At 39.7% G+C, this 25,771-nt stretch overlaps 1 protein-coding gene and 1 long non-coding RNA gene across 5 annotated transcripts in view, besides 5 other annotated features; one reads left to right on the top strand and one right to left on the bottom strand.

Moving 5' to 3' along the window:
- Positions 1 to 22,137, top strand: part of CA3-AS1 (CA3 antisense RNA 1) — a 23,110-nt gene extending 973 nt beyond the window's left edge. For 2 of the 4 annotated variants that reach the window (NR_121630.1, NR_121631.1), the window contains exons 2-3: positions 1,142 to 1,207; positions 21,706 to 22,137. This is a non-coding gene — a long non-coding RNA (CA3 antisense RNA 1). Of the gene's footprint in view, positions 1 to 888; positions 1,012 to 1,141; positions 1,208 to 7,079; positions 7,457 to 21,705 lie in introns of those variants that run through there. The other 2 variants (NR_121632.1, NR_121633.1) reach the window with 2 other exon arrangements.
- Positions 51 to 370: a silencer, noted in NCBI's record as "silent region_19339". NCBI's record gives its function as "represses an Ori minimal core promoter by ATAC-STARR-seq in GM12878 lymphoblastoid cells {active_cell/tissue: GM12878}" and the evidence as "EXISTENCE:reporter gene assay evidence [ECO:0000049][PMID:35858748]".
- Positions 441 to 700: a silencer, noted in NCBI's record as "silent region_19338". NCBI's record gives its function as "represses an Ori minimal core promoter by ATAC-STARR-seq in GM12878 lymphoblastoid cells {active_cell/tissue: GM12878}" and the evidence as "EXISTENCE:reporter gene assay evidence [ECO:0000049][PMID:35858748]".
- Positions 1,728 to 2,423: an enhancer, noted in NCBI's record as "OCT4-NANOG hESC enhancer chr8:86373749-86374444 (GRCh37/hg19 assembly coordinates)". NCBI's record gives its function as "activates a minimal SCP1, AML or CMV promoter by ChIP-STARR-seq in naive and primed H9 embryonic stem cells {active_cell/tissue: H9 hESC(naive and primed)}" and the evidence as "EXISTENCE:reporter gene assay evidence [ECO:0000049][PMID:30033119]".
- On the bottom strand, positions 14,903 to 25,084 carry CA3 (carbonic anhydrase 3). The gene is made up of 7 exons (NM_005181.4): positions 25,000 to 25,084; positions 24,034 to 24,231; positions 21,752 to 21,870; positions 19,817 to 19,909; positions 18,725 to 18,787; positions 17,646 to 17,801; positions 14,903 to 15,909 (listed from the first exon to the last, which is right to left on the bottom strand). Exons 1-7 carry the CDS (start codon positions 25,031 to 25,033, stop codon positions 15,790 to 15,792), a joined length of 783 nt encoding a protein of 260 aa, NP_005172.1. The 5' UTR covers positions 25,034 to 25,084; the 3' UTR covers positions 14,903 to 15,789.
- Positions 24,725 to 25,247: an enhancer, noted in NCBI's record as "H3K4me1 hESC enhancer chr8:86350925-86351447 (GRCh37/hg19 assembly coordinates)". NCBI's record gives its function as "activates a minimal SCP1, AML or CMV promoter by ChIP-STARR-seq in naive H9 embryonic stem cells {active_cell/tissue: H9 hESC(naive)}" and the evidence as "EXISTENCE:reporter gene assay evidence [ECO:0000049][PMID:30033119]".
- Positions 25,248 to 25,771: an enhancer, noted in NCBI's record as "H3K4me1 hESC enhancer chr8:86350401-86350924 (GRCh37/hg19 assembly coordinates)". NCBI's record gives its function as "activates a minimal SCP1, AML or CMV promoter by ChIP-STARR-seq in naive H9 embryonic stem cells {active_cell/tissue: H9 hESC(naive)}" and the evidence as "EXISTENCE:reporter gene assay evidence [ECO:0000049][PMID:30033119]".

Genomic DNA, 25,771 nt, shown 5'->3' with positions numbered 1-25,771 from the left:
CGGGGGAGGGGGCTCGGGTGGACCTAGGCGACAAGGGGAGGTGGTGACGGGCGGAGGTGAACTCCCCGCGCTCGGGGCGGGGCGGGCCGGGCGGGCGAGTCTCCGGGGGCGGGGAAAACGCCCTCTCGGCTGGCGCCCGGCGGGGCTCCGGGGCTCCGGGGCTCCGGGGCTCCTCTCCCGCCGCCCGGCTCCCCTCGGCCCACGGCAGGGCCCCGGTGTCCTGGGCTGGCAGCGAAGCTCGGAGCTCTGGGCGTGCGGCGGCTGCGGTGGCTCCTGGGCTCCTCCGTCCAACCCGGGCCGCGGAGCCTCTACGCGCACCCCATCCCCCTCCCGGCTGCGGAGTCTGGCGGCGGCGGGGACTGCTCGGGACCCGGACCCCCGGCGCCTTTCGTCCCCTGTCCCCATTGTGACCTGTCTCTTGGCCCCGGAGCCCTCCCGCCCCACCCGCGCCGGGGTCTCCAGCGCGAAGGGCTCAGTCTCTGGTGTCCCCGGCCTGGGGCTGGCAAGCTGGGTTAGGAGCTATGACCTTGGGGCAAATAGGGATACGATCCTAGAGGCGCAGGGGAGCGCGCAGCATGAGTGCTGAGAGGCACGCGCCCTCTGCTGCACGGCCGTGGAATAAAACGAGACAACGGCCCCACAGTCCCCTGCCCGCAGCCCACGCTCGGGCGAGCCTGGAGGATTGCATTTCCTCGTAGGCTGGCAGAGCCTTACATGAAGCGCTCATCTTCTCCTACTTTCCTCCTCTTTAAAAAATTAACGTGGGTGAGGAGACGTCCTAGTTGAGTACATATTGATTTGAAATAACCAAAACTTTTAACAAATCACTTTTCTCAGAAGAATCCAGTAAGAGAAAGATAATTTCTTCCAAAGACATGAGACGTTCCCTGGCTGGCCAAGAAAAATTGGCATCTGGCATACCTAGGAATCATTCAAAATAGTTTAATAGGAAGGACATTTTGAGGCCAGCCAGCATTATGACATTTGTGGGTCCTACGGCATTTCACCTTGGTGGGTCCCTTTTTCATAAACACGCATTTATACCAACACTGACATAAAGATAAATATCTTAATATTATATATTTAAACATTTTCTTTAACCAACACCTAATTTTTTTCTTTTTTGTTCTTATTTTAAAAGGAAACATTTTCCTGGGCATCTAAAAGTATTGTGGACCTGAGACACTGTGCTTACAGGGCCTACTGGGTAAGTGAGGCTGTTTTGAGATATAGAGAGAATTCATTTCCTACAAGGGATTTTGCCACAGAAAAATCCGGGGGTTTGTGGGAAGGAGTTCGGTTCTGTGGTCTCTGCAATCTCTGAGGGCAATAGTATTAGAGTTACAGTTGGGGAAGCAGGACACAGTTTAATGTGATTGTGTCGGCCTTGACATCACATTACTTACCTTTGAAAATATACAGATAAATACAAGGATAAGTTATTAGTGGACATTTTTGCAATATGTATCTCAAAATCACTCTTTACTATTTATTTCAGTCAATTTCATCCAAACAAATATGATTCATGTTTAGACTTACTTGTTCTAAGATTCTAGAAAATTGTGTACTTCTGCTTATGTGGGTTTTGGGTTGATGTCACAGGGAATTCTTAGGCAAGAAAGCAGCAATAAAGTTTTTAAATTTTTAGGACCATTACAAAATGGAGTTTGTAGCAAAGAAGAAGCTTTTATTTGTGCCTCTGTAGGTGCATTGTATCTGTTGGGGCCCATTGATGTAATTTTGTTTCTTTACATAATTTTCAAATATTAACTTAGTTGCTATGAGACTCTTCACTTGGCCCTGGAGATATGGCGTTGATAGGTGCCAAGAATTGAGTGCAAAGTTTGTGAATGTAGAGTGGCTTCCCGGGATTCTGTGGAGGGAGCCAGGCGATTTGATCAGCAGGAATCCTTGTCTTTCATTTTCCGTGAAACTGGATTGTGGCTTTCCTAACAGGGATGAAGTAAGAGCATGTTTGATTCTTAAATATGCGTAAAACTTCAAACACCACCAAACTGCAGTTCACCAAATGGATTATTGTCATGGGAATTTTTCCTTATCTCTCACTTCTGGAAAGTGAATTAATTCTCAGTGGGAGCAAGCCCTCCCCACAGAGCTGCTGTTAGGGAGAGTGTCACATGTTCACCACAGGGTGGAGAGTGGTTCACCTTTGGTTACTCAGAAGCAATCTAAATTTTTTAGCAGCGTTTTTGGTATTACAGTGGTTGGCTTAGCATTGTTTTATTTTCCTGGTCAATTTTTTTTAATGGAGTTAACTTTATGCATTCATGTTGGTCAGTCCCAACCTAACTTTATTTTACTGAAGGCATTCTTCTTAGCAGGCTGTCATGATTCACTAGCTGCAAAAGACTACTCTAATACTGGATTTGTTCAAATAAAAAAAGTGCTTATCTTATTATGTACCTATCTTTCCATTAGAGGGAAGGATGGGTTCATTTCAGAATAATCTTAAGTAAAGGAACTGACAGTAGCTTAAGAAAAGTACTTTTCTTTGCCCCAGAAAAAAAAAAATTCAGGCAGTATATCAGGAAAATGTAATGTAAAAAAACTTAAAGTCTGTGTTCCAATTATTATAATAAAAAAGCTTCTAACATATTATTCTTAGTAAAAATGTGAAAGTATTTGCTTTTTCTCAAAAAATGTAAAGATATTGTTAAAATATTTTACAAGGTGAGATACACATTATTTATTAAATATTTAATTAAAAAGCTAATAAAAAGCCAGATATTCTCATATTTGTTACCATTATAGTGTTTAAGTAGATATCTGGGGCTGGACTCAGTGGCTCCCGCCTGTAATCCCAGCACTTTGGGAGGCCAAGGCAGGCGGATCGCTTGAGGTCAGGAGCTCAAGACCAGCCTGGGCAACATGGCAAAACCCCATCTTTACAAAAAATAAGAAGTTAGCCAGGCATGGTGGTGTGCCCCTGTAGTCCCAGCTGCTTAGGAGGCTAAGGTCGGCAGATCGGAACCCAGGAGGTTGAGGCTGCAGTGAGCCATGATCATGCGACTGCACTCCAGACTGGGAAACAGGAAGACACTGTCTCAAACAAAATAAAAATAAATAAATATCTATGAAGGCCAAGAGCCATTTGTTTCTTGGGGCTCCCATAGGTCTTTGCATACACATCCTTCTATCCTAATATTGGCAATTCTGCATTGTAATCAGACACTCTATTGTAATCATTGGGTTATAATCCAATGCCCCAATAAGCTGTTGACTGCTCATTTGTAAAGCAGGAATAATGACACTCACCTCATTGTTGTAAGAATTCAGTCAGTGAGCATAGATAAATCACCTGTCACGTGTAGGCACTCAGTAAATGATGGCTATTCAGTCCCTCCTAGACAGTGCTAAACAGTTAGAATATAATTTAAGGAATGCAAAATTAAACACCTGGGCCAGGTTCATGGGAAACATTTAAGAGGAATGAGTCTCCACAGCAGGAGGTGTTTTTTTGTTTGTTTTGTTTTGTTTTTTTTTGTGAGAGGACAGAGGAGTGTTTGGGTCATGGAGATGTCCATTCTACCACGCTTATGTTTTTCTTCCTAAACTGTGCCCCCTGAAGTTGAGTACTGTGTCACATTATTTATCTCTGTATCTTAGGCACCTAGTACCCTTTACCTAGCCTGAGTCCCAAGATACATATAGTAGTTACTCACATAGTACTCCTTGAAATTATAAACTTTGAAAAATCCAAATGGAGATAATGGCAGTTTCACTTTGCAGAAGTTAGTAAATAATTTTGTTACAGATTATAGTTAGCAAATAACATTGTGCTGAAATTAGGTTGGTTTTGAATCTGGGTTAATTTACTAGCTTTGTGACTTTGGGCAAATTTCTTGATTGTGCTAAGATTCAGTTTCCTCATCTATAAAACTAGGATAATAATAATACTTACCTCACAGAGTTGTGGTGAGGACTAAGATGATACAGTGTGTGAAGGATTTAACCTAGTGCCAATAATTAGAGCTTGATCAATGTCAGTTATCATTACTACCGTTACATGTTTCTCAGCTCCTATTTTGTGCTTAATATTTTCTATGTGCTAGGTGAGCTACACAAGATAACTTGTCTCATCATCCATTCACTCAATGAATCATTCTGAATGCTATTATGTGTCAGGCATCAGCACAGAGGCTATAGCCATAAACCAGATCAACATGACTCCTGCCCTCACAGAGTTTACATGGGGATGGATGGGGGTACTGTACAATAAATGACTCAAAATAAACAACAAAAGTAAATTTCCAATACTGAAAATTAGTATGAGGAAAGTAAAACAGGAATGAGGTAAAGAATAATGAGTGAGGAAATCCTACTTTAGATGCGGTGGTTATAGAAAACCTATTGAAGGAAGTACATTTGAGGAACCACTAAAAAAAGATCTGGGGGAGGGCATTTCAGGCAGAGGAAACAGCAAGTATAAAGGCCCTGAGAAAGGAAGTTTCTAGAACAGAAAAGCTTGTGACTGAAGCATGGTGACTGAGGAAGAAAAGACAAGTAGTGGAGTCAGAGACAGTCAGGGGCTACAGCCTGCAGAGCCTTGCAGACAATGATAGCAAGAAAGGATTTTATACTAGTTGCGCAGGGAAGCCACTAGGGAGTGGCTTATGCACAGGTATATTATGTGCTGGGAGGATATAATACAAACCACAACAATATATCATTGTAGAATTAAAAGAAGTTTGGAGGTTACCTGGTCCAACTATTTATTTTATAGATGAGGAGACTTGTAGAAGTCCCCAGATACAACACGCTGTTGCCTAGCTCCTTGCTTTTATTCATCTGACAACTTCCTTTACAGAAAGATCCAAACTTCTTCTTCTGACTATAAAACCATTTAATCCTGTCTCTGGCTTCCCTCTTGGACTCTGAGTCTCTCAATATCCTTCTTTGGTAAGATGTGAGGCAGCATCACAAGTGGCCAAGAGCCCAGGTTTTATAGTTTGGATTCAGCTTCGAGGGCTTCTTCACTACATGATCTTATATACTTATTTCACCTCCTCAAAGCTCAGTTTCCAAAGGTGAAATGTAGTAAGAGTACCCAGGGCTGCTGATCGTGGTAAATGGACTAGTTTGTGTGAATTGGTCCTGTGAATGAACATGATTCCTGGTATGTTGTTAGCTGCTCCATTAGGATTATTGTTATTGTAGTCAAGAACCATAGAATTGTGAAATGGGAATCGACTTTGTAATAAGACAGACCTGAGTTCATACTCTGACTCGAACACTTACTTGCTGCATCACCTTCAGCAAACTAAGCAATCCCTCTGAACTTCACATGCTTTATTTGTAAATGGGGACTGGGCGGAACGGGGCGAAGGGAATTCTAGCTCCACAACGTGATGAGAATGAATGTCTGGAAGATGCTAGATACAATCCTGGCATATTTTCTTTGTTGAATAAATGGTATGATTGTCATTACATATAATATTTTCCATTGTCAAATAACAGGTTGACTTTCCTAGTTCTCTAACTTGGATGAAAATTCACATGTATTTAATTGACATTATTTGAGTTCCTGATCTATAAAAATAGCTAACACTTATTGAAAACTGATTACGCACCAACACAGTTCTGAATGCTTCACATAGTCCTACTCTACAGCTGGTGTCATTGAGGCATAGAGGTAGGTCAGATTACCCCAGGTAACTCAGCTAGGAAGTGATGGGGCCAGGTATGAAACCAAACAGTTTGAACTGTTAGCCATCTGCTATGTGGTCTCCCCGAGGGCCAGCGAAATACCTTCAAGGAGCTTATGAAGGCAACTGCCTCGTGGTGATGTAATAGCAATGCATTAAGATTATGTGAGCAGTACTCCTCTATAAAATAGAATGTCTATCAAAATGCTGGCCATTTTTAGGGTTTCCTGCCAAACTCCTTTTAACTATTTGGGGTAGCAGGGGATAACAATAACTTTACATATAATAAACAGTTGAATTCAACTTCCCTTAGTAAATAGCTTTTCAGACTTTTAAAAATTTAGTTTCTGAATGTGTCTTTGTTTTTTCATAATAACTAGTAACACTTAACTCTTCTATAAGTAATAGAATCTATTTAGTTTTGAAGAGTAGTGGATAGATTGCAAGCTCATTACCTAGTTTCACTTTCAACCAGAACTGGAAGAAATATTAAGTGGGACAATTACACTAAAAATATGCAAAGTATACATTTTAAGTATTTTATGTTCCAGAACAGCTGCCACATGTGATACTATAATCAATCTAATAGAAATAAAAGTCCACCTCTTCTTAGAACATAGGTTCTCCACTGGAGGCAGTTTTGCTCCCCAGGGGGATGTTGACAATGTCTGGACACATTTTTGGTTTTCACAGCGGGGGGAGAGAGGGACTGTGTGCCATTGGCCTCTAGTGGATAGAGGCCGGGGATGTTGCTAAACATCCTACAATGCAGAGAATCACCCACTGACGACAATGAATTTTTCTGTCCAAAACGTTAACAGTACCAAGATTTTGGAACCCTACCTTAAGAGTATACATAAGGTAATGCTTTTCTAAAAGGTCTGTGTTAGAGTTGCATATGTATCCAGCAACATGTGAGCCCTAGGACAGGGCTTTGCCCATAATACTCCCTCACTCATCTTTTGTTTATTGGATTGAGTAGAAAAGAACAAAATCCAGCCTCTACACCTTAAGATTATTGTCTATTCACTTTGCTTCAACACATTTCCAATGATGGCTTTGCACCTAAATCACAGTGGTTTGGTCAAGTTAATATTAGCTTCGCCACATGATTAAACTTCTCTTTTGCTTATAAATCACCATTTTGTATAGGGGAATTTCTGACTTCCCTTTAGTTATAAGAACAATTTAACATTTTCCATGCCAGGGGAATTGTAGGCATTACAAATACATTTTTTCCTCCTGTTCAAGGGCAGGAGTCCTCATTCACCGGTGTCACTAACTGACAACAGTCTTAAGAGTATACAAGTGGAAAATCAGCACTTTATAATCCTATAACATATGTGGATAGGCTATAGGAAACAAAGATAATTACATTTTATAACTGTAGTTTTCTCATTTGTGTTTATCCAGGTTGATTCTAAAGAAGAAAGAAAATCTATATGCATGAAAAGATGTCTTAAAAAGTTTTGAACTACTCAAAGTTAAGATTTGGGGAAATAGAAATAGTATATAACTTAAGAAAATTGCCACTGGCTGTGAACCCCCATGGCATTTTCTTTGCACTTTTTTGCTTCTCGTTAGATTGTATGTGTTTTTACCATTTCACACAAACTTTTAAAGATTATTCCACGCCGTTAGCTCTGTGCTTCTATTAGTGTCTCTATCTCTCTTTCTCTCTCTCTTCCATCTGAGTACAATGGCTAGAAAATAATACACACTTGAATGAATAAATGTCATTTAAATATTTTAATAAACAGAAGGAATAGTACAATATATTTCCCTTGACCAATGTATTGTGATTGCTTTTTTCTTTCTTTTTTTTTAAATCTTTTGCTGTCTTTGACCAAGCCAAAAGAGTTACAACCAAATTCAAAAAGCCACCCAACCCAAGATCAAAACTGGATGAGTCAAAAATGTGTGCTGTTCCTCCAAGAACTCATTGACATGCCAGTCTCTGACCTTCCTAGGATGAGGCCACAGCTCCCAGTAGCTCATGAACCTAGACTGGCATTCAGTATTTTAGGAGTTTCATTGCATCATCTGTCCATCCATCCATCCCTCCATTCCTTCAACCATGAAACAATTCACAGCAGTCTTAATGGCTCTTTTTTTAAAAGATTTGTTATAGAATTATCTCCTTCTACTTCCACTCTCAGTTAATCCCCACTCAGTGAGTCAGTGAATAAGATAGTAAGCCAGCATGGCTGGTGAGAAACCACAGGACAGAACAAAGCGGACCAGTTGGCAGGAGACTCTGTAGCCTGTTTTGTTAGCATTCAACTCTGCACCAGCTGCCCCCCACATGACCCTGCACACACTTCAGGGGTGCACATGATGACTGCTCCATGACAGGAAGAAAATATGAGAAATTCTACTTATAGTTAACTTTTTAGCCTCTAAAGTTTTCTACTTTGTTTATATTTTATAAAATATAAAATAATAAAATACTGTGAATATATACTTTATTTTTTAAAAATGCAGTGTTGTAGGAACATGTGGAAGAACTGTGTCCCAGGGGCCTTACATCATTCAAAAAGCGTCTGGAGTCCATTGCTGACCCAAAGACCCAGGTGACCCAGAGCCGTGTTTTGCAGGTCGCCTGTACCCTCAGTCCTGCTATCTGTTCCTTCTTTCCTATGGCACTGATATCACTGTTCGACATGTATTTCATGCCCAGTGTGTTGGGCACTGTGCTTGTGCCCGATAAGCCCTTTCCTTCAGTATTCACAGCCATGTCTAGTATCATTTCTCTTGAGCAATGTTTGGAAGTCGACTTTATCTTTCAATTTTTTTCTTCTCCTTGATGCTTCTAGGTAGTTCCTTAACCTGCTTTTATCTCTTCCGCGTTTGACACATAAACTCTTTTGAAAAGCATGAAACCTTTTCAAAAAGAGCCTTTCTTATGGCCGGGCATGGTGGCTCACACCTGTAATCCCAGCACTCTGGGAGGCCAAGGTGCGCAGATTACTTGAGGTCAGAAGTTTGAGACCAGCCTGGCCAACCTGCTGAAACCCCATCTCTACTAAAAATACAAAAATTAGCCAGGCGTGGTGGCACATGTCTGTAATCCCAGCCAAAACCCCGCCATTGATTGCACTCCAGCCTGGGTGACAGCAGAGTGATACTGTGTCTCCAAAAAAAAAAAAAAAAAAAAGCCTTTCTTTAGTCATCTGTGTATACTTTTAAAATTGTATACCAAATAGTGAATACTTTTGCCCAGCTGAAAGCATTACCCTGAAGCTATAAACTTTCTTTTTTATGCCTTGTGGTTATTTCATAATTCCTCTGCAACTCTCCACTCCTCTTGGGGCCTAATCAATGTTTCATATCAATTAAGCTCCCAAGAATAAGAGACTTAGTACACTTCACAATCTTGACAACAGGCCCTTTGTTATAGAAAACAAATTAAAAGGAATGAATTAGACCTTCTCAGATAAGGCGTCATTAAAATACTCTTTTAATTAAGAAATATTTATAATAGGCTCTCTGAAATTTACATAACAAGTTACAAGTTAAGCCACAAAGTACTTACTGTTCCACCCTGCCACTCCCCAACCCACCACCATCATAATTGACCATGACTTCTAATAATTTACTGTCTGAGGTAAAGCTTTTTTTAAAAAAATTCTCAGCTATCCTATAAAGTTCAAGGTAGTAATTATCAGTACCTGAACATACATGGGGTGTATATGCCTATATTGTTTGTGGAGGAAATTTACCTGAATTTACCATCTATTTGGCTGGTGTGGAGTGGAATATGTCAGTTGGAAATGCTTTTTGGATTTTCAAAAGTTATCATACTTTGCTAATCATGACTGTGAAACAAAGATTTGTGTTAGGAAGAGGTATCTTTATTATGTACGTGAACTTGCCATAAGCATCTCTACACAAAACTGAATGAAATGGAGAACTAAAGTCGCTAATGAGAAAATTAAGGCAAACTTAGAGAAAAGAGAGAGTGGGTAAGTTCAAGTACCAGCATGAATCATGCCAATTAGTGTCATCAGAGTCTAATGCCACAGACTCATTGCTAATCTACCTCTTCAACTTGCACTTTAGAAGCATGAGTGCTAAAAGAGATAAATATGTGGGGAGAGACTCTGCTGTTATATCTCCTAAAACATGTCTCTTTTATACTAAGTGAAATTAGTTATTAAAATTAAAATTTGCAAATGATAAGCTTTGGATATAAGTAAAGCTGCTTCTCTTCTTCCATGCACACTCTTTTTATAGAGAAGCCTGCGTTGCAGCAACAGACATCTGTATATTTCTGCAAGAACTCTTTGAGAAGCCAGTCTCTGGCCTTCCTAAGATGAGGCCACAGCTCCCAGTAGCTCATGGACCTAGACTGGCATTCAGTATTTTAGGAATTTCATTGCACCATCTGTCTGTTCATCCATCCATCCCTCTATCAATTTATCCATCCATCTATTCATTCCTTCAACCATGCAACAAATATCTTTGAGCTCCATTCTAGGTTCCAGATACTGTGTTAAGTGCTGGGGCTTCAATAGTGTAATGAAACCAATAAAGTCTTTACCTTCATAAAACCTCCCTGTCACCACTACTTATCACACACACACACACCCCAACTTTTATATTACAAACATAATTTAAAAGTGTTGTTGTTACTCCTAAAGTTCCCAGTGTGAGAATCTGAGCTCCTATATATTCACTGATGAGCAGCCTTCTCAGTTCTTAGTTCTTCCCAGCACTTGGCCTTGCCCTTACATCTGCTGTGCTTGGCTTGTACAATTTTCCTACCCTTAATAGGCCCCCTTCTTTGGGGTCCTGATCCATCCAAGTGCCCCTTGTGATGCCTTAGATCTTGCTGTAAACTGATCTCACAAGAGCAGAAGTGTAAATTCTGTGAGCGCAGTATTTTCAAACACTTCCATTTGTATTATAGTTCCATGGGAGCCAGGTTCCTTTTAGGGTAAGAATTACCCTGAACAAATGCGTCTGGAACCATCCAAATTTCAAATGAGCTGAGTACATATTATAGAAATGTATGGACATGTTGGAACAGAGAATATGTACACTTAATGGCCAAAATATTTCCCTGGAATTCCAGTCTCCTCTACCTGAGAAAGATTTAAATACAAGGGAGGATCTGATTCCTGTTTACTGAGCAGAGTCAATTCTAACCTGGCTAAAATTAGCTTTTAAATCACTGGGTTTTATGCTGCTGCAGCGCACATGGTCCCCTGTGATTACACCATTAGATTTGCTCTTAACTCCTGCTGATTACCTGTGATTACTTACGCGGTCAAGTTGTCAAGTGGCAGCGCCTACTAAACACCTTTACATCTAAAGTAGTTCTTTAACTCTCTACTTAATTCCTTTATGCTGCATTTTATGCCTAGACTGTTTTATCTCCTTTTTTGTAGTCGAATCACCCCAAAGTACAAGCTCTTCCCTCAGGTGTGACTTGTGCATCTCATTTAGGATTCTGACTTTATGGCATGCTCAGACAAGTCCAAAATTAATTTCATGGCAGGAGACTTTCTGTATTTACTATTAAGATAGATTTTTCCACTTCGCGCTGCACTCCAAGGGATTCTATCTTGCCAACATTTGAAAATCAATATTGAACTAAATGAATGCTATGGTTCTTCCAACTCTCCTCTTTGGTTTATTTTCTGGATGTTTTGCTAACTCTATATGCTTCTCAGGAAAGGGGCAGAACTCCTGGAGCAGAAGCTTCCTCAGGAAAAGTTATTTGGTCCTCCTCTGAATCGCTGCTTCTAGTGATGTGCTGGTTTCCAATGTGACCACATCTTGTTTTGCCTCCTATATATATGGGACAAAAGTTATTGTTATTTAAAATACCATTTTCCCCAATAACAAGCAGAGGTGAGCCTGTTATAGAAACTCTTTTAATATTACCTGTTGATGAGGTGTGGATTCACGATATTACTAATGGATACCTAAAGAAAGAAACATGATTTTAGGTATTGAATAAGGCATCCGATTTTTTCTTGGTTGATGTAAAATTAATTAATAAAAGATCATCGTTAACTCTTATTGCGAGTTATGTCAGAAGGACTATTCTAAGTGGTTTACCAGTAATTCTTAAAATCTCCCTGGAGGCAGGTATTACTCTCATTCCTGTTTACAGATGAGGAAACTGAGGCATAGAGAAATTAACTTGCCTGATGCCACACATTCAGCAAGTGTTGTGTGACTTCAATCTAGTCCTCCTGAAAACTGAAGAGGGCTTTAAAATGTTAATTTCCCATTATTTAAGTTTCAGTTCAATTCCTACTATTCTTTTATCCCTCAGGCCTTATTTTTAGCTATAAAGACTCAAAAATATGTAAGAATCCTTCACTCTCTTTTCTTTTGCATAGATATTAATGGCTAATAGTAAACATTTGAAAAACAGAAATAGGCTGTCAAAAACAATTTTTAAACCTTATTGCTCTGCAATTAGTGTGAATAAAGAACAGCATGGCTTTTAATGTCATAGTCATTTTTGTAATTATTTTGCTGCCATCTAGTGACTCACATGAAATTTTTAAATGTTTTGCTGCCATCTAATGACCTAAGTGAAAATAACATTCAAACATGATTTTGCTTTTCATTTGTATTTTAAGACTTTAAGAACTACTTTAGGGGTAGGTTTTAAAAAAATCATTAAATTTCTATACCTCAAATATGAAATTTTAAAAATCTGACATTCACAGTTATCATTCATTTTTCTTACCTCTTCTCACTTCTTCTTCTTCTGCTAAAATAATATATTTTGCTCATAACTGGAGATCGTCTTTAATATCAGATAAGAAGGCATTAGAAAAGAACCTAGAGTCTAATTAATTTTCTTTATGTGTGGTCTTTGATGTGGGTTTAGACCATATGTATTTCTCTTAGGCCAATTTTATTTGTGCCAATTCTCATCTTAATAACTGTCATATTAATTTTTCCACATGTATCCAAGCTTGTTAATAGCTGATCAATTTCAACTATATTTAATTACATAAATGATTATGGTTAAACACTGAGAGCTCCAGTTTTGCATGTTCTATGTAGAATACTTCTCACTCATCTACATAAATACTCACTGACTGTACAGTTTAAAGAATTTTGGATCAATATTCCTGAAATTATTTGCCTTTTCATAAATATATCCTGTCTGCTCATTTAAAAGGCAGGTATTACATTAACAATATATTTGCACCCTTAGTCTTGGCCGGGCGCGGTGGCTCGTGCCTGTAATCCTAGCACTTTGGGAGGCCGAGGTAAGCAGATCACCTGAGGTCAGGAGTTTGAGGCCAGCTTGGACAACATGGTGAAACCCCATCTGTACTAAAAATACAAAAATTAGCATGTCATTGTGGTGCATGCCTGTAATCCCAGCTACTTGGGAGGCTGAGGAACAAGAATCGCTTGAACCCAGGAGGCGGAAGTGGCAGTGAGCCAAGATCACACCACTGCACTCCAACCTGGGCAATAGAGTGAGACTCCATCTCAAAAAAAAAAGTTTTATATATATATGTAAATATATATATGTAAATATATGTAAATATATGTAAATATATATGTATATGTATGTAAATATATATTTGCATACTTTCAACAATACCCTATGTTAGATAAATTCTTGTTAATTCTGCTCTATCCATAGGTTTTTAATGATATGATCATTGGAATATTATGAAACACAAATTCAAATTAGTTTCTGCCCTATTTTGAAATTTTAAAATACCTACAATGATTATACCCTGAAGAACAAAAGTTGGCAGATGCTGAAATCTTTTTATCACAGCAGTTCTTGGCCATGCCCCTTTGTAAGGCTGTGTGTATCTGAAATGCAATTGTTTGAGGGCCTGTTTATGATCAGGAAAATGATCCCCCTGCTGAATAAGGACACAGTATGTCTTTAATATTCTAATGGACATCTATAATATCACATATCACAGAACTCTGAGTTCAGCACTTTGAGAAGCTGTGAGGAAATTTTAAGATGGGCGATAATTGTGAGCATTGACAATGACTCAGACTGGAGGGAGGGGGAGAAGTATGTTCTACTAGAAAGCTCCCACCTGAAGCTAGTGAGATCATTTTCCAAGGAGATTTAAACTAAGATAAACAAAAACAATATTCCTATTAACCATGTGACGTGTTGTTCAAGAAGGTAAGTATTTTACCTGGATTCATCTACATTCATGACATCACTTATTCAACAAATATTAATTAATTATTATGTGCTGGACACAGTATCAGACAACAAGGTGAATGTCAGCATGCAAGACGCATATTTGTGCCCTCATAGAGCATATGGTCTACGAAGATAGCCTCTTTTGATGGGGCATTTTCCCTCAAAACAGTTCTAACCTTGTTCAGCTTGTATACTGGAATAAGGACCATTTGTAGCTGACATTAAGTCATATGTTCCTCCCCCACATAGAGTCAATACTGGATACATCTTTTACAGTGCATAAGCATTACTAAGTAAGTACCTTGAGAGAATCAGCTTGTGTATTTTCACTAATGATCAAAGCTCCACACCTCCTAATTTCGAGGGATTTAATTAACACTTCCAGTTCACACTGACCAACCTGGCTTGACTTCACCTGGGTGGTAATCTATTAAATAACTTTGGCCTCATAGGACTCTGTCACGTGATTTGACTTCTGGCATCTCAGGACTCTCCTGACCCAATATTATTTCATTCCTTAGGGTAATGAGCTTATTCCTGTCACTTTCTAAAGTAAGTTAACATATTGGCCAGTGAGTGATGAAAGACGTATCAAAGCCACTAACTGCAAAATTAGACTTTATGTCTAAAGATATTATATTAAATGGCTTAAAGGTCTAAATATATGGATTTTTGCAGTGTTAGGCCAGCATCATCCTAAAGGCACAATTTTTAAAAATATGGATGTAAAAGCTACAGTCTGACTTGATTTCACGCCCCTAAAACCCATTGCACTAGTCTGAACCCCAGAATCCTAAACCAATTTTGAGGCCTCTGGAAAGTATTTCCCACTATCAGATATATGGCCATACATTCCTCTTCTGGTCTGCAGTTTCCTCAGAAGGCCTTCACTAATTGCTTTTTAATTTTTTTTCTGGCCCTCCTTGAGGAATGTAGCATCCAAACTCAGAATTTCAGCCCTTAGTGCCATCCTTCAGCTATAAAAACAAACTTACAAAGTTTGTTGCTCTTAGTTAAACTCCATTTTTGTCATTTATGATGCCTTTCCATTTAAAAAACACAACACTCAACGTTTTCCATTTATGTCTTTATTGGTTCTGGTGATCAGTACAACTGCTTTGACTTCAAGTGTCATCATTCACTCTTTTGTGTTCTAGTGATCATTCATTCCAGCCTCCAGTGAGAAACACAACAGAGGCAGTTTTTATTTTAATAATCATGCAAAGAAAAATGTAGTGAAATTAAAAATAAATGGCCCTCCTTCAGGTAAAGAAAAATACTAGGATAAATTCAACTACATTTATGAAGAAGAAATTCAAATACTGAATCAAAAATTTGAAAACTCCTGATTGTATTGTGTTTTCTTTTCACTGGTAATCAAAACCAAGTAATCTTAGTAGCTAAAACTTCAATAAATGACTGACTTCTTGCTGGTGTTAAGAGTTAAAACATATTATTAGCTCAATTCTTGCTGTCTATAGTCATTTTAATTTCTGGCTTATGTTTAATTGTTATATGATCTTCATACACCTCTACTACATGTAGAATTACTCATATTTCTTTAAGATGGACAACTCATAATATAAAAATAAAAACAATGAAGTTGTGTGAAATTTTAGATAACAGAAAAACTGGTGCCCAATAGCTAGCCATTTTAAAAATATCTTTACTCTTCCATCTCTGTTTCTTCTTCTTTGAAACTTTACCAAAAATGCTACTTTTATAGGAAAGATGATTATTACAGAGATCAAATGTGAAATCTATGCTTTCATATTAGATCTTGTCGAAAGTAACTTTCTTTCAACAAGTAACTTAGATCTTGGTGACCACATCTCTCACATTCATTGCTCAGTGTGGAAAAATGAAATAGACTTGGAGTAAGGAGCACCAGAAGGAGGCAAGGAACCAAGCTCTCCAATGGTAGGTTTCCTTTCCTGAAGAGGGCAAGATCCAGCAGCCTCATTTGAAGGAAGCTCTCACCACCCTGTTATTGATAGGCTGTGGAGGTCGCCAGTTGCTCACAAGAGGCACTGGGGGCTCGTTCTCAGCACTGGAGAGGAGGCTCCGCAGCTTGGCCATCTGCAAAGGGCAGGGGCAGACTGTTAACAAGACATTCGGATCAACTGGACACACTACGTGACAAAGAGGTATAAATACTGCTGGGGTTTTTTTTGTTGTTGGTTTTTTTGTTTGTTTGTTTGTTTGTTTGTTTTTGAGACAGAGTCTCGCTCTGTAGCCAGGCTGGAGTGCAGTGGTGTGATCTTGGCTCACTGCAACCTCCACCTCACAGAACTCAAGCGATTCTCCTGCCTCAGCCTCCCGAATAGCTGGGATTACAGGTGTTCACCACCTTGCCCGGCTAATTTTCTGTATTTTTAGTAGAGATGGGGTTTCACCATGTTGGCCAGGCTGGTCTCGAACTCCTGACCTCAGGTCATCCACCCGCCTTGGACCCCCAAAGTACTGGGATTACAGGCGTTAAGCCATCGTGCCTGGCCAATACTGGTGTTTTAAACATGACAAGCAAACCACACAACCTGTCCCCAGTGTCCAGTCCAGAGCTATTTAGCTAGCAGCTCTAGAGTGACACACATTTTTTCTTTATTTGTAAAGCCCTTTTCTTCATTCTATACAGGATCACTGTGCCCTCTGGTCACAACCTTTTCCTGTTGAATCTGAAACATTTACTTTTTATTTGAGGGGTCAGTATGAACTACATACTTTGTTGGAGAGGATGACCACATCCATATATCAGTGTAAATAAAATGTAGTAGACCTTTATTATATAAGTTTATGGAGTCAATTATTTTAAGAGCAAAAAGAAATCAAACTCATGCTACATTTTCAATTTTAAATTGACTTTTCTTTCTTAAAGGATAAGAAAATAAGAAATTCTCATTAATAACACTATGATTCTATATTAAAATATTTTTAGATTTCTCCTTGAAAAAATTTCATTCTTTCAAAATAGTTATATCACTGAACAAGGTTGTTATATCTGATCTTTTAATAAAAATGTCTTTATAAACTTGAGTTTACAACTGACATAAATATGAAAGCTGTTGCCTTATGCAAGAGACACACACTGGGAAACTGATTTTACTATTAGAGTACATGCATGCTCTAGGTTGTGAGTCCCTGTGTTGTTTACTTGCTTCAATCTGTTTTTCTCCATGTTCTTGCCCACTTATTTTCTCCTACACAGCTTTTCCTTGATAGTGTCTTTAATGAATGTTACCAGGACACTCTTTAGATCAAACAGTAAGAAGGGAACCTTGAGAAGAGATGCCAAAAAGTACTGGAAACAGTTTGGAGGTGGGATTAGAATCCTGCACTTGGCTGTGTGATCATGGACAAATTACTGAACTTTTGAGCCTTGAATTATGTATCTGTAAAACTGCAGAAATAATATATAGCATACAAAATTGTTAAATCCTTTCCATTAGCACCTTTCTCTTCTCCAGGTCTGTATTTATCATCCCATCTCCTTACCAGTGCTCAGTATTTGGCAACGTCCAAATTAACAAAGACTCATATTAATCTAAACCCTTTAAAGTGTTTATAGAGCATAAACTCAGTCATGTTCGGTATCAAAACTACTTTTAAATGAGTTGCATTTATCCTGGTACCCTTTGGGGGCCAAGTTTTAGAAAGCTGAACAGGCTGGTTGTAATTAACCAGGGCAGACCATGAAATTACTGGCCATAGAGCTGTTCAGTGAGTATCCAGTTAGTAGCTATGTATTTTTGATTTAGCATCTGTATCTTACATAGGCAGACAGCAACATAAGCCCACGTGTTCACAAGGCTGCTCACCTGGTCAGAGCTCACGGTCATGGGCTCCTTCAGCAGCAGCCACACAATGCATTCCTCGCAGGGCGGCGTGGTGAATGAGCCCTGGTAGGTCCAGTAGTCCCGGCATGCCGGGAACAGGCAGGATGGGTCAAACTTTGTGAAGGGCGCCTCCTTGCCCTGGGTAAGAGCAGGTTGCAGGTGCAGTGAGTGCATGCATGCACATGCCCACCCACCCCAATGCCCTCACCACTTTATTTGTAAGAATGAATTTCAAATGCAATAGAGAAAATAGAACTTCTAAACAAAGTATAAGCCTTTCAGAAATAAAGATCAAAGCAGGGAAGCTGGTTTGCACATTATTACTTGATCTGACACAATCACTGTCATACTGTGTTCCTTAGTGTTTTAGCTGTGAGTAGAACTATCTGTGATAATTCTATCACTCAAGAAAAAGGAGAAACTGATATCTCAAGTGTAATTGAATTATTTAATATAAGTTAATGTTTTGTTCTTGATGATACCAAAAAATATCAGGCTTGTATTTTTATTGAATGATCTACTTGGAATGCTTACTTTCTCTGTTAATGAAACTCAATAATATTTGATTAGAACGGTCAGAAAAAAAATAATTAAAATGTTTCTGTTACTTACATGAGTCTATTGTGAAGATTTTAAATTTTTAAGTGCTTCCCAGAAAGCTCATCACCAAGACTCAAAAGACCAGCACTGGCTGACATTTAGTAGCTCCGTGATGGTATGCATGCATATATGCAGTGTGTGTGTGTGTGTGTGTGTGTGTGTGTGTGTGTGTGTGTTGGGCGAGGATGCGGTGACCACTCAACTTCTCTGACTCTCACTTACTCCATTGAGAAAGTGATTATCTGACAGGATGACTATGACCATTAAAAAAACTGATATATGTGAAATTGCTCTAAAAACTGTATGCCATACAAATATAATAGCATTTATTTTTATATGTATGCTTAGCATATCCATCAAACTTAGTAACAGATTTTAGGTGAAAAAAATACTTGAAAATATGTAAAGAAAATCTGCATAATCTGCTTTATGTTTTAGGAGGGAAAATGATTTTTGTTTACCTTTGTCTTAATCTTGTCCAATGCATCAAGGAAAATCTGGAACTCGCCATTCTCATGTCCTATCTGTAAGAAAACAGAAATCCAAGTATAGTTCTTTTACTTCTCCATAGTTTAGGATTGTCTTCAAAGCTGATTTTGATCCATCCATCTGCAACTAGTGTTTATAAATCTGCCAGAATATCTCGTACTAAGCAAAAACATAAGTTTATTTTTCCTCAAGATTTTAGAGTATATATTTTCTGATCTAAATTTGGACTCCAGGCTTCTGAAGTACAGGACCACAAAATTACACGTTCATCTAGTTCTGTGTCTTTGACCTTCTCTGCAAAGTCATTCCACTTTTCTAAAAACCAGATTTAGAACCAAAATGGACCCTATGTATCCCAAACTAAACTCATTGTCTTTCTTCTCAGACCTACTCCACCTCCTGCTGTTCTGTGCTCAGGTACCAAAAATGACCCAATGAATTAAGAACCTAAAACAAATTAGGTCATTCAAAGAGAAAGAAGCCAGATTTTCACCTCTGGCTTGAAATCTAGATTATGTTACCACTAACTTCATGTGTTAATGACACTAAGTCCTCTTTAAAGCAAGGTTGGCTCAACAACACACACATTCCATGTGCTATCTTAGCCTGGGATCACGTGAGTGGTGACCACCTCAAGCCGAGGGGATGTCCAGCCAGGGACTTGGAATCATATGGTTCCCAACACTGACTTTTCTGGTTTCCAGTGCAATTGAAGTTGAGCAGTGAGAAAGGAAAATAAATATATGCCACCTTTGCCCTTACCACCACCGTAATAAGCTCACTCTAAGGCTCTGTCCCCAACACCTACACACACACACACACCTCCCACATCTGGGGAAAATTTAGAAGTGCTAGGGGTCCTGGAGTGTGGTAAAAGATACACTTTTAGAGAAAAGTAAGACATTTTGAGCTGATCTTTGCAGAAATATCTTGATTAGTTGAATGAATAATAAAATGCATATGAAAGGAGGAAGGTAAAAATGAGGAAATGAAACTCAAACTATGCTAACCATTGGCAGGGAAATACATTTTGGAAGAAAATATATAGTCAATTTTTACTTTACCTTCAGAAAAATGCCAATCACAGCGATCCCATCGCGCTGCTTCAGGGCTTCTTTAAAAGTGTTATACTTCGGGTTCCAGTGAACCAAATGAAGCTGAAACCATAGAAGACAGATTAGAAGGTAAATTCCTGGAATATGGAAATAAGTACAACATTATCCACAATAAACCCAATCATTGTACAGGCTAAGGTTGCTGAGCACTCTCATAAAAGCTGAGAAAATTTGAAAGAGTAGCATGTAACATTTTGGTAACATTTCTAGTGGCTCAAATAAAAAGCATATAAAATTATTTATTTATCTCCTTTTATCAACCAGAGCTCTGAAACCTGGTGGCAACCTGACCTTAATTTAGAACATGAGCACCAGTTAGGTTAATCAAACTTTCTATGCTGAGTTACAGAGAATGGCAAGAGGATACAATCATTTGCAGCAGTTAAAAAATGTTTTATTCAAGACCAAAAGTATGAAATAATCCCATGTGCAAAGGTCAAACTGAAAGCCTTGCCTGCATCTGTAAGAAATATACTCAACTTTCCCCATTTGGTTGGGGAAGATGTCTAGAAGGCATTCTCAATACTTAATTTATCTTGCCATGGCTCTCTAGATTGGCTGTAAAGAAACAGAAAGATCACAGTGAAGTACTTTGGGTTTCACAGAATTTAATTTAACCAAGAACTAAGATGCCTAATGATTCTGCTTAAGAACATGTTCATAGTGTGTTTCTGAGCTTCTGTCACAGCCCCTATGTTAACCAGAGCCTATCTTTGGAAAAGAATAAAGCAGGAAAAATGAATTGGTCCTCACCTCCAAGGCAATTGCCACCACTTATTGGTTTGGCTTTATAAAGAGAACATGTCAGAGGCCTGTCTTAAACCCTTGTAATTTGATGCGTTGATCTGAGTTAAAATTCATGTTTTTCTTTAATGAGTTAACTGAGACAGAGAGTAGTATGTGCTCAGATTAAATGGTATGTGTGTACACATATCTCTACGTGTGTGTAAATATGTATGCATGTGTATATATAGATATACACACACACATATATATGCACACGGTTCATTAAGAGATTGGAACATAAGCATTATTCAGAATTTCTAAATGCTATTTTTAGAGCACTATATTCTTATAAAATAGGCAGTATAGGGCACTGGATAAGATGATGAATTCTGAAGCCAGTCTGTATCAGGTAGAGCACTAGCACTCACCAGCCGTGTGACTTTATTATGTGTCTTTTCTATGCCTTCTGTTTCCTCATCTGTAACCTGTCTCATAAGGTAGCTAAGAGGATCTAATGAGTTAATACATGTAAGCATTTAATAAGTATTAGCTATCCTTTTTCCAGTTCCATTGAGGACCCTGGGCTTTCTTATTAAGTAGCTATCCAATTTCTAACTTTTAGGGTTTTTCTTTTTTCGAGACAGGGTCTTACTCTGTTGCTCAGGCTGGAGTGAAGTGGCGCAATCACAGCTCACTGCAGCCTCGACCTCCCAGGCTCAAGTGATCCTCCCACCTCAGCCTCCTGAGTAGCTGGGACCACAGGTGCATGCCACCATGCCAGGCTAATTTTTGTATTTTTTGTAGAGACAGGGTTTCACCATATTGCCCAGGCTGGTCTCGAACTCCTGGGCTCAAGCAATCCACCTGCCTCAGCCTCCCAAAGTGTTGAGATTACAGGTGTGAGCCACTGCACTCGCCCCAGTTTCTTAACATAACCTTGGAAATCTTCATGTTTGATGCCAACTCACCTATACCCTTTTACCTGTCTAGCCTAGAATGTTCAGCAGCTTCAGTTCAGCTAAAACTAGTACAGCTCTTTTCATAACTATAGACTTGAAACAAAAGCAGTGGATGATGCTTTGTTGCTGTGGTTCTTATTTTTAATTTTGCAGTTTTCACTGTATGAGACCGAGAATGGATTATGGCAGTTCCTCTTACCTCCGCTGCATACTTGACTCCATCCACGGTGTGCTCAGAGCCATGATCATCCGAAGAGCCCCAGTGAAGATGAAACTGGCGAAGTCGGTAGGGTCCAGGGAGAGGACCCCCTCTCAGCACTGTGATTCAGATAAGCTTGGTCAACAGTGAATTCATGCTTCTTTTACAGAGCTCTACTTTAACCAAGTGCTCTTAGAGCCAAGGCTTAATGGACAAAATGTGGTCAGTTTGCTGGGTGGATGGTGCCACTCCCAGGACACTGGACTCCTCACAAAATGAAGTCTGGGGATATGTCAAGATAAATGATTGTTCTTTTCTGTCTTTCTTATTTTGTTTGCTTGTTTCATTATTATTGAAACATCATTTTAACATTTAGGAAAGCAAAATTAAAACAACAGATAGACAATGAGGATGCATACACCCAAAGAACAAGTCAGTAGTGTGGTGCAGTGGGAAGAACTGGACAGTTGAGAACCAGGTGGAGGTAGGTTTCCAATGCTGGCTTCACCCCTTGCTAGTTCTGTGGTCTCAGGCAAGTTGCTAAACTTCTCTGAACCCACTTTCACATCTCTAAGAAGGTGATAATAATACCAAACTTTCAGAGCTGCTGTGAAGATTAACTGAGATTAAGCACCTTAAAGTGCTCATCATAGTGCCTGCATGATGATCACTGAGCAGATGTGAATTCCTTCTCCACGTGTTGCTTCCAACTACACTTTTCTTCAAGACAACGAGCAAAAACTTTCATCTACGTCTAATTTAGACTGTGTCTATTCAAATGAGATGAAATGGAAAATTCAGAAATTTCCCAGAAAACCAATCAATGTGGATGATTAAACTAGATAATTCTCAGCAGCATTAATTTGGGCTTGTTGATAAACATCTCAACCCATTGCAGAGTGATTTAGAGGTTCAAATGTCTTCCAAAGTATATTGGAAACTATGCAGAAACCCTAAGATCAAGATTTGGCAATATAAGCTAGATCAAAATAGAATTCAGAGCATAGCTATTTTAGAAGAGGTTGCCCACACTAAGTGGCCCAGGGAAAGCCATAAATATAGACCTCAAACAATGAGGCTAGGCCTATATGAGTTTGTTCAGGTAGAAATGGAGTGGTTCAATTCATTGCATTTTTCCTGTCCAACCACTCAGAACAGTTATTATAGGGACATGTGAGTCCAATTTATTAGAAGAAACTATATGAAATTGACAATATTCAACTATTTTTGCACACAAAAATGGCATTTTCATATGGTTCAACCTAATAGATATGTTTAATTTTGTTATGTTGCTTTCAAAATGGTACTTGATATATAAGGAGAAGGGGAAAAAAGGAAACAATAGCAATACGAAACCACTGTTTAAGAAAATTTAAATTTCTGTAACTTGGAACCTCCTGGTAGGTAGGAATTATGAATATCATTCTTCATTACAAAATCATTAAGAATGTTCATTTATGTATATCAATAAATATAACTTTATTAGAGATGGGGCTATAAGGAATTATTTTGCTGTATATCAAGCACCAAAATATTAAAGGAAGATTCTTTCTTACCTCATTTATCGTGAAATAAAGTATTTCTGACTAGTCTTCTTTTATTATACTGATTTGCTTACTAGTGTAGGTGAAATAAAGAGATTTGTTTTTTCTAAACATGTATTTTTCAGTCGCTGTCTCACACACAAACTACTACTCAAGAAGAAATTGTCAGATATTTCAAAAATACTCACCCAAATGATTAATCAGATGAACCCCACTGAAGGCTTGAAGGCAAGTCATCTTGACACCTTCAGTGGCCCTGTTCTCTCCCCTAGATTGGTCACCTCCCAGGCACCAAGGGAAGAAAGTGCCTATTTAGGGTTTCTATTGTATATCTGGCTTTGTAGAATGGAATCTATGCAATTGAGAGTGGAAGCCTGGCTCTCCAGACCATGGACAAGAAGCACAAGAACCCTCAGGTATAGGCCATCGGAGTCTGAAGAATACTCATTTGAGTTTATTGTCATCTCTGTCCTATCGTGTTCCATTTCAGGAATGCATTGCCAACTTTTAGCTTGGACATGGGGCCGTTTTCACAGAGACCAAGTTTGGAGGGTGTGACATTCCTCTTCAATACATAAATATAATTATTCATGACTAAAGCAAAGTCAAATGTCATCTGCATTTTAAAAGATAAAGTGCTCCCTCTCCCCATTAATTCTGGTACTGTGTCATAAACCACATTTTGTCAATATGGACCTTGAAAACATCCATGTGATTCTACCTCATTGTCATACTTACTTGACCTATCATAAGTATCATCAAATACAACTCGGCAGGTCTTCCCATTATTCAGGATGGTCTTGGCAGAGCCACCATCATAAGACACAGACCATGGCTGCAGAGAAGGGTCATGCCTGATGTCTTTAGTATGCAGCTCAACGGGCGACTGGTTTTCCCCCTTGGCATTTGGGAAAAGTTCATGCCAGTGGTCAGGACCTAGGAAATAAAGTCGAGGAGATGTATTTATTTGGTGGCACAACCCAAGGCCTCTTTCTAATTGACTAAACCAGCAAAATACAGAGAGGCTAGACAGTGATTTCAAAAAGGTCTTAGGTTTCAGACTGGGCAATAAGAGACTTAGCATTCATTTCAGGCCTGTTGGTAGTTTTGTGAATAGCACACATGGAGACTATTTAACTCAGTGTGTTCACTCTGCCTGCTCAAAGGCTTATTTTTCAGATAAACTTTATCACATTTTTTTTTAACCAATGACACCTTCCATCATAGAGTTGGAATAAAATAATATTGACCACCTACATTTGAGCATTGTGTTGTGGGTTTCAGAGCACACCCATGTTCCTTTGCCTTGGATTAGGGAGAAGCTTAGGCAGAGCAGAGATTCTCACACCGGCACCAAGCTCAGGTTAGGTGCTTGTCCAGTAAAACAGAATAAGGGCCAGTCACACCTGACCTCGGGCTGTCTGACTTCTCAGAGGCAATGGGATCTTAGGCAAGTGATCCAACTTCTCTGCACTTCAGTTTTCTCCAAGGGAAATAAAAACTCCATACTAGGGAGAACCAAATGAGATGAAGGAAAAAAAGAAGCAGCAGCATTTGGCAGTTGAAAAGCCTCAGTAAATGTTAGGTCTTATTCTACTCCTACATTTTCCACTGCAGTCTCTAAAGTTGCCCATTTCTGTGCAATGGCAGGGCTCTCCTGGACTGGCATCCCTTCCTGGCCGGGTCGCGGCTGCCTGCACTCACCGTTGTGACTGGCGTAGCCCCACTCCTTGGCCATGGTCGCCTTCCTCCGTGCTGGACGGCTCCTGCTTTCTCTTCCCCTGCGTGGTGCAGAGTCGCCGCGAGCCCGCGCTTTTATGTAGCTCCCCCGCACACTGCATGGCCTTATTAGGTCAGCGAGGGTGGGGCGGGGGGCTAAACTAGATTGGGGTGGTGTTTGGGAGGCCGGGTAGAGGAAGCCAATGAATTCCAAGAGCGGGACAGCTGTCGAGGTGACGGGGGCGGAGGTGGGCGAAGGGGCACCCACGCCCCTCCCTGCGCTCTCCCGGGAGTCGTGGCTCCTGGCCCCTCCATCTCCTCTTCTTCTCTCTCAAAACTGCAGGGTTTCTAACCGGCGCCGACGTGCAGAAATGCAGGCGGCCCTCACCTCGTCCTCTCTCCTTCCTCCATGCATTCTTGGGGATGGGGTGGGGGCAGGGACAGGGTGTCGTAGTTGTGCTTGGCCACGAACTAAAATCTACATCCCGGCGGCTCTTGCAGCCTCACTTAAAAGTTGCTTCAAGCGCAGGCTGGCTGTCTGGCTACGATCTCTGGACACTTGTGCGAGTTTATTTCGCTCTAGCGATCCGGTTACAGAGGCTGGAAAGAACTCGTTTGTTTGCCTGCCCCCTAAGTTTGACTCCCTTTGCAGGCAACATGTAAAATCCTAGGAGCAAAGGATGGGAAGAAAGGGTCCGGAGCAGGGTGAGAGGGTGAAGAGGCCCTCCAAGTCCGTTATCCTTAAAGAGATGGCCCT

This window comes from Homo sapiens, chromosome 8 (assembly GCF_000001405.40).
Source record: "Homo sapiens chromosome 8, GRCh38.p14 Primary Assembly".
Taxonomy (NCBI): domain Eukaryota; kingdom Metazoa; phylum Chordata; class Mammalia; order Primates; family Hominidae; genus Homo; species Homo sapiens.
Note: the sequence above shows the minus strand (reverse complement) of the source record. Positions and strands in the feature narration are given on the sequence as shown.

Coding starts and splice junctions, on each gene's coding strand:
- CA3 (NM_005181.4), bottom strand. CDS start 25,033: ATGGCCAAGGAGTGGGGCTACGCCAGTCACAACG. Junction 24,232..24,999: donor GGGCTACGCCAGTCACAACG/GTGAGTGCAGGC, acceptor TTTATTTCCTAG/GTCCTGACCACTGGCATGAA. Junction 19,910..21,751: donor GAGTCAAGTATGCAGCGGAG/GTAAGAGGAACT, acceptor CTATGGTTTCAG/CTTCATTTGGTTCACTGGAA.